Source organism: Homo sapiens, chromosome 11, assembly GCF_000001405.40.
Source record: "Homo sapiens chromosome 11, GRCh38.p14 Primary Assembly".
In the NCBI taxonomy this organism is placed as follows: Eukaryota; Metazoa; Chordata; class Mammalia; order Primates; family Hominidae; genus Homo; species Homo sapiens.
Window position 1 is genome coordinate 126904660 of NC_000011.10, and position 15795 is coordinate 126920454.

At 44.0% G+C, this 15795-nt stretch overlaps 1 protein-coding gene and 1 long non-coding RNA gene across 21 annotated transcripts in view, besides 1 other annotated feature; both read right to left on the bottom strand.

The window, feature by feature from the left end:
• Nucleotides 1-15795, bottom strand: part of KIRREL3 (kirre like nephrin family adhesion molecule 3) — a 580037-nt gene that overhangs the window by 481302 nt on the left and 82940 nt on the right. The gene's annotated exons all lie outside the window — the stretch shown is intronic.
• Nucleotides 1-15795, bottom strand: part of LOC105369559 (uncharacterized) — an 88316-nt gene that overhangs the window by 52337 nt on the left and 20184 nt on the right. The window lies entirely within an intron of this gene.
• Nucleotides 13105-13154: an enhancer, noted in NCBI's record as "active region_5712". NCBI's record gives its function as "activates an Ori minimal core promoter by ATAC-STARR-seq in GM12878 lymphoblastoid cells {active_cell/tissue: GM12878}" and the evidence as "EXISTENCE:reporter gene assay evidence [ECO:0000049][PMID:35858748]".

Sequence of the window (15795 nt, forward strand, 5' to 3'; positions counted from 1 at the left end):
TCTGTCTCCTGCTACAGTTTAGCACAGCTATAGCTTGGGGGTAGGGGGTCAAAGGAGGAAGTATGCATAATGTACATATTTAATCTTGTCTCGTCTATTTTTATCCTATGTTCACTCAATATTTGTAGCATTCTCTTTGCGTCTGTAAGCATCAATGCTATTCCTCAGAGACATTAAGATCCCAGAGAAGAGAAACTGTAAAAATGTTCTTTGATGGTATCTAGGACAACTCCAAGTATAGCTAAGTATATAATAAATAACTGACTATCCATGATGGGGATGATGATGATGATGATGATGATGATACAGAAATAGTGTGTAAAAAAATTCATCTTCAGATGGGTATTTGTGGCAATGCTTCAGAGGGGAGAGACATTTCAAGAGACTGGGTCATTCCCTGGTTTGGCAAAAAGGGCGACATGATGGTTGGTGTCTATGAAGACAGCTGTGTGTCATCAACAGAAGGTTCTCATACCACACAGCTCAGCTTGCAGAGGAGGAACGGGGCTTGATTCCATGGCTTCCCTACTTGAAGGCAGGGCTTGGCTTACTTCCAATAAGTCACCTTCCATGGCAAGGGGAGGGTGGGTGATATTTTTTAGTGAAGGAGATGCTTCCGGGGGGAGCTGCAAGCTGAGGGGCTGCACCAGGAATACAGGATTCCTGGGAGTTGATGGGAAACTTCTAACCTTCAACTGCCTTCTTTTCTCATTTACACAACGCTATCCTGGGGTAAAGAGCCCTAAATAATTGCAATGCATCAACTTGGCAGAGGGCTACACATTAGGTAGGTCCTTCCATAATGTCTTTCTCATTAAGAGTCTAAGCCCATAAGGCAATTTGTGGCATTTACTGTTCATCGCTCAGGGGTCAGAGGGTGGGGAGAGGGATCTTTCATTTTGGGCCTTATCGAACCTGTCCCGCTTGTGACCCACAAGAGCATTGCAAGCCTCATCCTGCACAGTGGCTTGGTGTGTGATTCGGTGTGCTAAATGGCATGTCTCCATTCTCCAATCTGTCTGGCCATGAACCCTTAACAGAACACCAGAGACCTATGTGAGATGGAATTGTTGTGTACCGCCACAGCCTGACAACACAGAGCCCTATCTGCCGCTGCCAGTTCGGGCGGATGCCTAACGAGCACACTGGGGAGAGCCTCCAGTGGGGACATGACTCCCCAAAGCACTTCAGGGGTTCCTTTGTCCGCACCCAGCCATGCAAAATTCCTGGTGCAGCACAGCTAAGTGAGGATGCACGGAGGAGATGAAACAGGCTGACAGGCAGAGCCATTCTGTTTGGGGTTTGTCTACAAAATTGTCAGTTCAGGTCTCCAGGTCAAAAATCATTTTATCTGCTGAAGCAGATGCTTTGTAGAACAAAATGCCAGGCCGACTTCAAGGCCGGGAGGTGTGCAGAGCCCCAGGCTCCAATCACACTGCAGCAGGAGCACACTCCAGCCCATCCTGCCCCTCTCTGAATTCCCTCACTCAGAGATAGGCTCTCTTTTCTCTCTGTACACTCCAGCTCCCTGGAAGACTTTCTGACAGCTCCCTTTCTGCGGGCTGACTGCTCAAGAAGCAAGATGTTCAAAGACATGGCTCCCAGTCTCGGAAATCCAAACCTCACGCCTTGTGTGACTGATGAGCCACTTTTCGTTGTTTGCTTTCTTAAAAATAAGCATTAAAAGGTAGGGAGGTATTGGGAGAACTGGAATGATCAGTCTTATCAAAAGAGGGAAACTGAGGCTTAAGGAACGGAAGTATTAGCAGCAAGGTTACTCCCAAAGAGACATGTTACAGCCCCTACCAGATGGCAAGAACCTTGAACCTTATTTGATTGCTGCCTCTGCCCAGTAACTTTAATCTCCCTCCAGCAGAGAAGTGGATAGGGACCCCCCTGCCATGAAAAACAGCGTTGTTTTTTGTTTTTGTTTTTGCTTCAGATCTCCTTTCCTTTCACTGTTTTTTTTAGCATGTATGGGAACATTATATTCACCAAAAATCAGGACTAGCATTAAACCCAGAAGATGTGAACTGCACGCATTATAAGGCAAATTAGATCCTGAAAGTCTGCACTGCACTCGGATCCCCAGCACCTCCTCTGTAGCCCACAGTGCAAGGCTGCCTGTGGCTTCTTCCTGGGACGTCTGCTCTGCCTCCTGAAAGGATGGCTTTGCCTTTCTGAGGTCCATGAAGGGAAGTCAGAGTGGCTTGGCTGAGCCCTACATTTTCTTTTTCTGTGTAATTCCATTTGATAAAGAAAAAGCATTTAGAAAGGTTCATTGTTTAGATATTGAAAGACAGGAGGGAAGCAGACCTAGGAAGGAATCCTTAGTTTCCTTTTGTTGTACAAGGACACTGCTCTCATGCATGTCAACCCATTCCTCATGGGGCCCACCACACCATAAATGAATCAGGCAATAAAGGATCCCAGTGGTACCATTGTCAGAATATCTAAATTTTGAATTAAAGACTTGGTTAAGATATGAAACTACCTACCTTCCATTTGGAAATGTCCCTTGAACTCTTTCCCTAGACCCCCACTGATTGGATAAGGTGAGTGAACCCGAGCTCCAGGTGCCTCCCAAGTCCACTGTGAAGATGCCCTGAACACGATGTGGAACCTAGGCGAGGGAGGGGTCTGCATTTTATCAGATCATGATCTGTGTCAAATATAGTTATGAGTATTTTCATCAAAGAATATCATAGTTTCCCCAGCACTTTGTGAAGGCTGCGATAGAGAGGAAATTGAAAGGCAGGGTCATTTCCAATGGCACACAACACAGTGACCTCAGACAACACAGTGAGCTATAAGAAAAAGATGGCTTGCAGACGCCAGGCCAGGCAAAGAGACTTTTTGCTGGAGGGACAGGTTGAGAAGCATAAGAGAACTTCGGCAACCACATTCTTTTTAAAGTATTGGAGCTCTTCTACCATTTGCTCAAAAAGCGTTCTGAGTACCAACTATGGCAAGGTTTGGAGCTAAAGTCTAGAGCTATAAAGATCAATGCATCTTTTCCCCTAGTCTAATGGGATAGACAGGCCTTGAGGACAGGAAATGAGACTGAAGTGACGAGATGGACACGAAGTCAGCAGGATCGGGCCCCTGCTGCCCTGCAACCTCATCTCCTCCCATTCTCCCCTCTGGCTCATTTTGCCCCAACCACACTGAACTTTTGAGTTCCCCCATCAAGTCCAGGCCCTTTCCTCCTGAGGGTCTTGGCATCTGCTCACCCTCTGCCTGGAATGCTCTTCCCCTGGGATCTGCGTGGCTTGCTCCTCACTTTCTTCAGATCTTTACTCATACATCACCTTTTCAACAAAGGCTTTCTTGACCACCTGTGATGTCACACCGCCACCCAAAAGACACCCCCCAAATTCTTCCCTGCTTTCTTTTCCTCCATAGCCCTTATCAGTACCTAACATATAAATCTGTTATGTATGTTGTTTATGATCCTGCCCCCTCCCGTCAGAATGCAAGTCCTATGAAGGCAAATATCTGTTTTGTTTACTGCCGTATTTTCAGTGCCTAGGCACATAATAGACCCTTGATAAATATTTATTAAATAAATAAATCTAGGTGGATATTCCAATCGGTTGCTTTGACATTCATGGATGCCAAGACTAAGAGATTTTTATGATCATTTTGTCCAGCCAAGACTAAGAGATCTTTATGATCATTTCGTCCAACCAAAGCAAGGACTCCGAAGCAGGACTGCTTGTGTTCAAAACTGGCCTCCATCTCTGACCAGCTGTGTGACTTTGGGCAAGTCACTTTAACCTCTCTGTGCTCTGGTTTTCTCATATGCAATGTGGGGACAATAATAGTGACTTCTTCACAGGGTTGTTGTAAAGGTTAATTGTAATTATTATATAAAATACCTAGAACAGGGCAGGGCATAGGGTAAACGTTCTAGAAACACTGGCTATTACTATTGGTATTATCAAGAAAACTGAAAGTCACAAAAGGTAAGTGATTTGCTCAAAATCACAAATTCATTCATTTAACAAGTATTAAAGGGCTTCCCATACACCAGAAACTGGGGATTCCACAGTAGATTAAATATAATAGTTTCTGCTTTTATGGGGCCTATAGTCTAGGTAGGAAGATAAATGTCGAACAAAGACTCAGGCAAATATATGCAGTCATCCCTCGTTATTCAAGGAGGATTGGTTCCTGGATCCTCTTGGGTATCACAATCTGCGGACGCTCGAGTCTCTGATATAAAGTAGTGTAGTATTTGCATATAACCTAAGCACATACACTTTAAATATCTAATTACTTATAATACATAATAAAAATATATGCTATGTAAACAGTTACTTAAATTTGTTATATTATTTAAAGTTGTTATGTTAAATTTGTGTTATTTTTTATTGTTGATTTGTATTTTTCAAATATTGTCTATTCACTTGGTTGAATCATCTCTGAAGGTGCAGAACCCAGGCGACACAGGGGGCCAACTGTAATTGCAATCTGAATGACCACCATGAAGACATAGGTCACCATGAACATGAAGTGTGGGAGACCTAATTTCTCTTCTCAGGCAGGGAAGGAATGGGGTCGGAGAGGGAGGAGTTCATGGGAGGTGTGGCACTAAAACCCAGGCTCCGGCCTGGGACTCTTTACATTATAAGTGTGTGGCCCTGGGATCAACTGTGGACTTCTTCACTAGCCTGAGAGTTCCTCAAGGCAAGAGAGCAAGGACGCATTGCACTCATCCTTGCATATCTGTAGCTCCACCTCAGGCACGGTGCCCAGCTCCCAGCATACCCACAGAGTGAGAGCCATGCCTATTCCTTCAGCACGTGCTAAGCGCCGACTCTCAGGGCATGGCTCTGAGGATGAGAGAGTGCTCTGAGTTGAGATACACCGCCCACAATACACCCCGTGGGTAATTAACAACCGAGAAAGGGCTCTGCTGAATGGAGTCGCAACAGCACCTGTCTCTGGTGTCCTCCACCCTTTCAGCAGGCCAGGAGTCTCTTGGGAAGCCTACCAAAGAAGGGAGAAATGTCCTTTGCTCTCCATAACCCTAGGGGAGGCAGGATCTTGACCTCAGAGATGACCTTTTGCCATCATTGTCTCAGCTTTCATGAAAACAGTTGTGCATGAGGCTGAAGCACCGCCATTATAAAAAACTTGGTTAAAATATGGATTAATCCCTGGGAGGGTGTTATGCAAGATTCAGATATATGGTCTGTGATATGGATATGATATTTTTTTATTGCAATAATAAGTTTCTCAACTCCTAATGGACCCTGTATTAACTGAAGATGACAGGGAGCGAGGGATGGAAAGCGGGCAATTTGTTAAGGTTGCAGAGCAGCAGTTCCAGGGTTGTAAAAGATAAAACATTTCAGAGTCATTAAAATCAGCCTAAATTGTCTATCTGAACTCAAAGCAACAAACCCAACTTGGCCCTGAGTCCATCACCAGCTATTTTTTTCTTTACAGTGTTTTGATTCTCTTGGACTATACACACAGCTCAATCTTCTACTCCCAGAAGGTCCAGGGCTTTGAAAAGACTAATCTCAGGACTTCCTGGAGGAGGTGGACTTTGAGTGCTCAAGCAGTGGAAGGGAGGCAGCCTTTGATGGATACACATACCTTTATAAAAAGGCTTTCAGATGCAGGAAGAGGCAGCCAAGGTACAGTGGGCTGGCTGGAGAGAAGGGATCACTGGGGGTGGTCTTAAGGCCTTTTTGGGGTTGGGGCCTAGTGGGTAGAAAAGATCTTGAAGCTTCTGATTAGGACTTTGTAGTTGTCTGTATGAGCCAAGAGGAGCATAACAAGGATTTGAGGACAAAGGTCAGACTCATGAGTTAGTGGGTATTTCCAGTGAAGAGGCTGGCTACTATTTGCTAAGAGCTTACTAAGGTCCAGGCTCCGTGTTGAGGGATTTTCATAAACTAACTCACTAAATTCTTACAAGAATCCCACGAGGTAAATAATAGTGTATACGCATCATATGGATGAGGAAATCGGGCAAGTTTCTCCACCCCTTTAGGACTCCACATCACATAACCAATAAGGCAGCTGGACTAGGGTTCAAACCCCAACAAACTAACCTACATGAATGTGTTAGCTGGAAGATGTCCCTCTTTATTCTGATATAATGCAGTAAACTCCCATGTGTCAGGCTCCATTCACCTGCTAGGGGAAACATCTCTGATGGCAGGGACTGCCAGGTATCCTTGCTCTCAGATGATGTCAGCAGCAGGAAGGCCCAGCAGTGATGCTGGACTAGACCCCTGGGCTTAGCAGTGAGCAAGACTGAAAGACAGATGTTCTCATTGCCGGGGGAAGGAAAGGTGGGCTTTATAACACCCTCTGCACCTGCCCTGGGCCACAGGGACTCTTTCTGCATTTTATCCTCTGTGGAGGAGAAAGTCACCATGAACAGAAAGGGTTGGCACAGAAGAGAGCAGGAGGGAAGCAAGAAGCAGCCCCAAGGTTCAAGGGATGACACAGAGAGAAAGAGAGGGTGGTGCTGGTGATGACAATGATGACTGCATATTTCTAGACATGGCCCCTCCAAGTAGGAGACATGGGCAGAAAGGAGACCAGCAAATAAAAAGCAGCCACCATGCTGAGACTCTTCTTTGAAAATGGCATTGTTGTCAAACTTAGAAAACAGTTTCCCACCCTGAATAAAACACTGACATTTGTCTAATTAAAAAAACCTAATGGAGATTCTGCAGACAGAGGGAAGCCGCCAGTGCATCTGCTGGTGAAGTCTCCATATGGCCCAATCCAATGTGTACTCTGCTGCAGAGACAGAGCAGGACTCTAGAATCGAAGCTGCCCAGCCATTAAATCACCTTCACGGCCTCACTGGCCACGGACCAACAGGGCAGGAAAGCTCAGCCCAGATTTCTGCTGTGCCCCTCCTCTCTCCCCGCAGCAGTAATGATCTGACCTGTGGACCACCCCTCAGGAAGTGTTAGTGGCAGGAGGTGATAAGGAAGAGAAGGACAGTCAGGAAGGACTTTCCTCTTCTGGGCCCCAGCAGATGGTGGGATGTGTCCATAAGAACGGCATCCGGGCACGGTGGCTCACGCCTGTAATCCCAGCACTTTGGGAGGCTGAGGTGGGCGGATGACGAGGTCAGGAGATCGAGACCATCCTGGCTAACACGGTGAAACCCTGTCTCTACTAAAAATCCAAAAAATTAGCCGGGCGCGGTGGCGGGTGCCTGTAGTCCCAGCTACTCGGGAGGCTGAGGCAGGAGAATGGGGTGAACCCGGGAGGCAGAGCTTGCAGTGAGCCGAGATGGCACCACTGCACTCCAGCCTGGGCGACAGAGCGAGACTCTGTCTCAAAAAAAAAAAAAAAAAAAAAGAACGGCAACTGGGATGACTCAGTAGAGACTGGGAAGGAAGCCCTGCAGAGAAGCTGCCAGCCCACATACTCATGGAGAGCCCCAAATCGTCCTTCAGACCCCTGGCAGTCTGGAAGCCTAGATGTCGTGAATCAAGCCTCTGGCAAGGACAGCGCAGTGACCAACCCTCTTTTCAGAAGGACAAAGTGGAATGAAAGCACAAGCCATCAATAGCATGGTCATCTCCCTGGAGATGTGCAGATACCCTTCACCTTCAAGCAGGCTAAACCGGCCGAGAGTGGCTCTGAGGACCTGCAGGTGCTGCCCACATGTGCCCTGGGCTGGTCCTCCCTCAGCTCCCTCTCCTGTCTTCACCTCCCTGGGCCATGTCTCTCACCTTTTGTGGTAATTCTTCACTTCTCTCCACACTAATTACCCCTTTCCATCTCACATTCCTCCAGCTGGTTCAGCACTTCCGATGGCTCCAGTCCTAAGCACCCCTCACAGTAGGCATCAACCAAGAACATATCACACTCACCTACAAAACAAGCAACCCACCATGAGCTGTGAGATGGAAATAACTCATCTTATCTATTCATCTGGAATACGATCCTGATGAACAGGAGAAGGGAGAAGAACTTCACCTTCCTTCAAGAGGCCATGCTGGGTAGCAATGGGGCTCCTGCCCCTGCTGTTCATCATGTTTCTGGGGTCTTTGTTTCAAATGTGAGGCACAACAGAGCATCCTGCTGTATCAGCCTAATTACCAGCCTCTCCTTCCATTCCTGCTGGCATGGCAGGTGAAGTATAGCGAAGAGGAACTTGGCGTGATAATGGAACCTAGTGATGAAATTTCTTGGCCACTACTGGCCATTCATGATCATAATTACCAATGACGCTTTATCGTGATGACAGAGGAGGGCATGCAGAGTGGTGACACCTGGGGTGCACCCATCAGTCTAAGTAGTCAAGAGAGGAAATGCCTTAAGGAACCACGAGATCCCTTGAAGAGACTCAGCTGAGCACACGTAGTTACCAGAAGTGGCTGTTAGGCAAGTGAAATGTAGAATGTTCCTCTGACCTTAACTACCCAAAGATTAGAACGCTGCTGTTCTGTAACACCTGGAGCTGAGGCTGGACAGTTGAGCACACATCATCCATCTTTCAGTGTCCTTTCTCCATGAGATAGTTAGGGTCAATAGTGATTGCAGGTGACACAAGGTTTTCCAAATATGGTTGGGGAAGGCAGTCACTCCTCAAAATCCATTTCATTTCTCTTCCATAGTGGCAGTATTATTTAGGGAAATGAGCAGCTCACTGGATGAGTCCATTGTTCTCAGGGCTATTTAACCTCCTCATCACTATTCAGTTCAGAATGGGGCTAGTGACCTTTTTTAGACTAATGAAATGCAAGGGAGGATTGCTGAAGGGTGTCTGACCAATTATCTCACTCTTAAGAGAGAGGATGGAAAGCCACACAGTTTCTCCGACTGACTGTAAACGCAGAGTGTCTTGCCCAGCTTGCAGCTGGCAGCTATCTGATGGCCATGAAGGAGGCTGGCCTGGGAAAAACGCAGTCCATGAAGAGGAAGGAGCTAAGACAAAGACAGAAAAAGAGACCCATTGCCTTCATCAAGCGGTACCTAACTCTGACCTTCTGGTTATGCTAGTCAACAAAATTGCTTATTGCTTTAGTCAATTGGAGTCAGTTTCTCTTATCAGAAGCCCAAAGAATGCCTTCCATAAGAAAAAGTGCCTCCTCTCAAGTCTGCTTGGAAAGAGACTACCATATAAGAGCTGAGTGAAGAAGCTTTGAAGAGGCCTGGCAGAGTAGAGTGCAGGTGGAGTCTGGGGACCGCATAGCAGAGGAGGGGTCTGTGTGGCTGACACCTCATCAGTGTGCTTCAGAGGAAGCTCATTGCTAGGCAGCACATCTGTCCATACTCATGAACAATAGGTCACCCTTTCCACCTCAAGGACAACAAGTCAGCAGCATTACGGTAGACTATATTTTGTTTCCAACTATTTGCAGGTCAGCATCGACTCTTGCTTGGCTTTGTGACTTTCTTTGGCCAATGGAATATGAGTGAATGTGATGCCACATGTGAGCAGGTGTTTGAATGCAAGCGTCTGATTTGGCTTGGCCAATTCCTGCCCTCTGTCATGAGGAAGGAATGTCTCGGATAGGTGCTATGCCTGTGGCCAGGGCCCTAAAAGGAAAGGGCACGTGGAGTAGGGCCACAGCTGACCCACAGCCCACTTGTGACATGAAAGAGGGAGAAACAAACATTTCCTGGGCTAGGTTACTGGGATTCTAACATAGAAGTATATACAAAGCAATACTCTATTCCCAGGACTCTATGAAGTGATTTGGAAGATAAAGAATGATGAGACATGGTTTCCATTCTCAGAGAATTTATAAACACAGCAAGCACCAGAAAGAATTACAGAGAGTGCAGAATCCTGGAATACCTTGCCCATACAGATTGTGAGGACACTAGAGTTCAGAGGAAAGGAATATACTGGCTGGGATGGCCTACAAGAATGGGAGAATGGGTGAGTGACAGATGACATTGGATAGAGTTAACAGCAGACAGGTGTCACAGCCTGAGCTGAAGATTTGCAGCTCACCTTGTCAGCTGATCTCATGAAAGGAGGGACATTGAGAATGCCTGGGTAGCATACGCCACTTTTTCTTCTGTCTGCCGGAGGCAAAGATGCTGAGACTTTCACTTTCATGTTTGAATGAAAATATCTTAGTGTACAAATTATCACTTTACAATTAATTATGCAGAGCAAGTAACACACATGAGACCTCAATATTATGACAGCTTGGAAATTTACTGTTTTCGAACTTAACATGCAACAAGTCTTGCCAAATGTACGTTGAAAAGTAGCACAAGATTAGACAATTAACATTTTAATGTTGTATATTCACAGCACATCTGTGGGTCAGTGTAAACACCACAAACAACTTGGCAGATGATGTCAAGTGGACACCCCCCTAAGACTCTGACCTTAAAAACCAACGCTCTTTAATTAGGCCTTTCCTTCCCCTTCTGGCTTTGGGAGAAGAGACTGTTATGAAAAAAGACATGATTACACCATATTGGAGTTCACCAGGCATCTCAAATACTTTGGGTTTGATAAAAAACAGCAGATTTCATTGCTGGAATCTTCCCTTCAGAATCTGTAAGCACCATGTGGATATCAAGGGGAATTTCATCAGTATGTTTCTGATTCCTTTACACTTACATCATTAAAAGATTTTTGAGGGTTTTTGAAGTCCAATAACTCTCCTGAGCCATTCTTCCCCCACTCCCAGCATATTTTTCATTTCTTTTCATTAAAATTAGGAAATTGAATTTCAGCTCTGTATTTTTTTTTTAAAGCTCGCTGCTTGTAAATAATGGTGGCTAAGGATTAAATCCCCAATTCTAAACATTCGTCCTGAGATCCATCAAGCTGATGAAGATTTGTGTATCCTCATCGGGCCCAGATCTCAGACAGGAGAGACGTGGTCAACTGTGATTTGAGAGATGAATTCAGGCATCATAGGCTTCCTTTGCCTCTCTGTAGAATCCAGTTTTGTCCAAGCGAGACAGTATCATTGACTCACATGAAGAGTGGAACTGTAGTGTTGGAAGCTGAATGAGCACTAAAGTACCACTCATCTAACTCTCCTGCCCTCATCAGGCCAAGGCTCAGCTTTGTATTTTCAAAATCTCTTTGTAAGTTCTCTCCTGGTAGCTGATAACTGTTTTAGTCACATTGTAGTCAACCCATTCTTTGTTATTTCTGACATAAAGTGATCTTACCTTTAGGTAAGAGCATTTCACATTCTCTTATTCTCTTAACAGATCTGAACCTAGTCTTGAAATGGGTCACATAACCATTTGCAAATGTAAAAAAAATTCTTCACAAAGGTTCCAGTCTGTATATAGGCTTCATGACAGCAGGGCCTCATCTGCTCTCTTCGTGCAACCTCCCCCAGCCACAGAACAGTCTCCAGCACATAGTAGATGATGCATAATATTTGTTGAATGAAGGAGTGAATAAAATTCTAATCATATGTAAAACATATACAGCCTTTCACAGTGCTTCCACACCTAGTGATTAATAGCGTTCTAATGATACCCTGAATGAGTAGCAAAGGTAGGGTGATCCTTAGATTATTTATAAAGCAGATGAGCCCAGATATGGAATAACTTAAGATCTTATGGCTGGTCAGTGGTAAAACTGGAGTAGGTTTCAGATCACCTGAGTCTCAGAATGTGCTGTTTTCATATAGACCAGTGCTTCTGAAGGTTGAGTTAGGCATATATCAGAGTCACCCAAAGGATTTATTAAAACACAAATTGCTGAGCCCCATCCTCAAAGTGTCACTTCTGTAGGCCAAGGGTGGGCCGCCAGAATCTGCATTTTTAACACGTACCCAGGTGATGTCAGTACTGCCGGCCCTGGGACCACACTGTGAGGACAACTCAGAAAGGCCATAGTTTACGAACTGCAAAATGAAGGAATATGAGGGAGAGAGAAAGACACTTCTTAACATCCTCCGAGACTATGTTTAGGGTATCAAACTCAACTGATCGGTACAGAAAGCCAGGCTGTGTGATTTAACTGCAGAAGTCTTTGCTATCCCTTAAAAAGCAAACAAACAAAAAACCTGCTAATGTAGATCACGGGACAGGAAGTTCCAACCTGGGGATATTCTAACTTAGAATGAAGGTTAGCTGGAGTCTTTCTAAGTATGAATTTAGGTTTCGAAAAGAGATTTTGGAGCTGGATAAAGCATTAGTTACATGGTCCAAACTTCTCACATATGCACCTGCAGAAAGAAAGGGGTTAGAAGGGTGATGTGCCTAGTCCAGTGTCCCAGACTCTCTTCATGCCTGATTCTTCAGCTGTAAGGCATAATCAAAAGGGGACAGGATGTCCCCCAGCTTGGTTCTCCTACGACTGTTTCTGCGGGGACAGTTGGTCACCCTATACATGTAAATTCTTTTAACTTGTACACCAATGTTCATTGCAGCAGTATTCATAATAACCAAAAAGTAGAAGTCACCCACGTGTCTAACAGATGAATGCAAACACAAAATATGATATAGTCACACAATGGAATATCATTCAGCCATAAAAAGGAATAACATTCTGATACACAGTATGTTAAAGATTCACCTTGAAAATATTATGCTAAATCAAATGAACCAGACACAGAAGGATATATATTGTACGATTCCACTTATATGAAGTATTCAGAATAGGCAAATTCATAAAAATAAAAAATAGATTAAAGGTTATCAGGACTGAGACGGAAGGAAGTGGGAGTTATTGCTTAATGGGTACAGAATTTCTGTTTACAGTGATGAAAAAGTTCTGGAAATAAATAGTGGTGATGGTTGCACAACATTGTCAATATAGTTAATGCCACTAAACCGTATACTTAAAAGTGGTTAAAATGTCAAATTTCATGTTGTATATATTTTACCACAATAAAAAAATTAAAAAAAAACAAGGAAAAACCTGCAAACAACAAAAATCTTTCCAAACCACGTAGCACCTCCACACCTATCCTGCCTCTCTTAGAGCACTGCTCAGTTGTAGGCTGTGTGGGGAGTGAGTAATGATCACCTGGTGCAATCTGGTTTCTAGTATGAGTTGCTTCCACTCATACTAGAAACCATATATGTATACCACATACTAGAAACCATATACTAGAAACCACTCACACTAGAAACCAATAGTGAGGTGGTTGCCACTATTTCCATTGGCAACCAATACTTTTCTGCCACTCCACTCATTGTCTAACCTTAGGCATGGACTTTAGAATTGAGGTGGCGTTTCTGAAGAACGAGATGGTAAAAACAGTGGCATTTCTGTTCCCTCCTCCACCCCAGTTGCACGCTTTGGTAATTGTTGAACTCGATTTCACTTGGTGTGTGATGACACATCTTACAGTGATGGAGCAGAATTTAGATGCTGTGACTCATCTCTCCAAGCTGGGTTTCCATAAGACTCCACACTGATCTCTGGCATGTTTACTGCTGCCTGGGAAACTGGTTTTGTGCATTCTCAGAAATACGAGATTGGCCCATAATGATATGCATGCCTCTCAGAGGGAAGACAGAGACTCACGGTATGGCAGTTGAAGGACACACGACTTGAGGGAGATGGATGTTACTGAGGCAAAAGAAATGTTCATTGCCTACTCGCTCATCATGGTGCTTCCCTCCCATGTGTGTGTCCATTTGGGCCTCAGCAACATCCCCAGATGCTGGGCAGATCCAGTGAATTGCAAGTAAGCAAATAAACATGATTTAATAGTAGATGAGAAGACTTTGCCACACCATGGTACCTCCCCCTGCATTTATTTTGGCAATTTGGTGCCGAATATTTACGACAGTGCTTTAGACCATCCAGGTAGTTTTAGCGTAAGGAGTGAAGTCTTTGTAAACTAAGCTGCTTGTTCCTCTGACAGGGTGATAAGCAAGCTTGTGGTGGAGGGCAGTTACCGGATTTTAATTAACTAGCTGAATTATTACGTTTTTGCATAAACATTCTTCACCATCATCCACTCATGACATAGGTTAGGTACATTTACACAGAGAACTAAAATGATACATTCTCTGCCTCCTAGGAGTTTATAATCTAAGAAAGGGATTGCAAATACATAGAAAGGCTATTCCATTCTTCATCTCTGTGACATGGCAGACATTACTAATCAAGGATAGTTCCCCTTTTCAAAATCTTTTCCTGCATTGGATGCCAGGCAGCCATTGTAATCAATTGCAGGGTGTGCAAGGCCTTCCTGATGTCTGCATGTTATAAAGAATGGGGAGCTAGCTGCCAAGACATTCCTATGACACCAGATGGGGAATGTATTGTTACATGTATTTTAACAATGTAACAATATTGCATAGACCCAAGGAAATATGATTTTATAACGTCATATGTTATAACATCATATGTTATAAGATATGTATTGTTACATCATATTATATTATTATTTGTATTATATATATGTATATATGTATTATTATGTGTATTAATACTATATTATATATAATATGATGTATTGCTACAGACCCAAGGAGATATGATTTTTTAACATCAACTTAGGTTTTCATACCTTTCAAGTGATAAATACATGCATAATTTGTAGAATTAAGGCATAGTGCTTTTGTGGGTTTCGATAAGCCTGACTTCTCAGTGTGGATGCTCCCATGTTGTGGATGAGATTGAGCGCTGTGGTAGGTGCAGCCATCACTAATGTCTTTGCCCCTAAGACAGGAGCAAGCTGGGCCCCTTGGTTAAACACTGATTACAGCCACATACTCTCCTCACTTCCTCCTTTCTGTAGTTCCAGTTGAGTAATTAAAATCACTTCTGTTAAAGTAGCATGGTTGGCTCAACAAGCCAAGGGCAAGTTTACGGATCTGGAGGATGGAAACTACTTTAAACCTTGGTAGTTCTGGCTGCAGTGAGGAATAACAATTAGAATAATTGATAACCAGGTCCTTGATGTCCAGTCACCACCCAAGGCCTGCAACACATCAGAGACAAGCCTGATTCTCTGGCTGGAGTAGATAACAGAGCTGGGGTTGGGCTATTCTGGTTGCTTAAGCTGCAGTGGCCAAGGACATGCTTCACTTTGGTGACACCAGTTGTGCAGAAGCTCTTGAACTCACACAGTTGAGGTCTTTGTGGTCTGGGAGAGAAACCCTTTCCCTGATATGTGCACAGTAAGCATGGGGCTAAATAGGTGTGCATGACTTTCAGATTACATGCAAAGAAGTTTTAGAGGTTAAGAGTTCCAAAGAGGACAGACAGGATTTGCTGGAGCAGGCCTGGGGTAATACAGAATATTCCAGTAACAATAGTGTAACTGCACTACTACAGTATTAAGAGTAACAATATTGTTACTAAACAATAGGAGGATACTACTAAGCAGTAACAATGCTACTGCTAATTGTGTGCCATTTATTGAACAATGACTACATACCTGATATGATGCTAAATGTGTTTATAATGATAGCATTTAATTTTATCATTTAACTATATCATGTAATCTTCATATCAACCCCATGACGTACTTGTCACTTGTCATTCTTCTTATTGTACAGATGAAAGTTTTCAAAGATGAAGTAATTTTCCCAAAGTCAAACAGACAGGGAGTGGCTTGGTTAAGAATCTGCCCCCAAAACTCATGCTGCTCACTTCCATATATTATTGCTCTTGCACAATCTGATATGCTCTCCCATGGCTGACTCCATAAATGCCTCTTTTGTCTATATCACCATAAGATGCATCTTTAGATCCCAAGAAATCTATCGATTAGACAAAGATAAATGCTCAGCACCATAATCATGCTATCAAATCATTGAACCGATGAACGAAAGGTGGAGTTAAATCTCCCTCAATGTGAAGATCCCCACTGCACTGTGGAATTTAGTCCATTTGATCTGGAT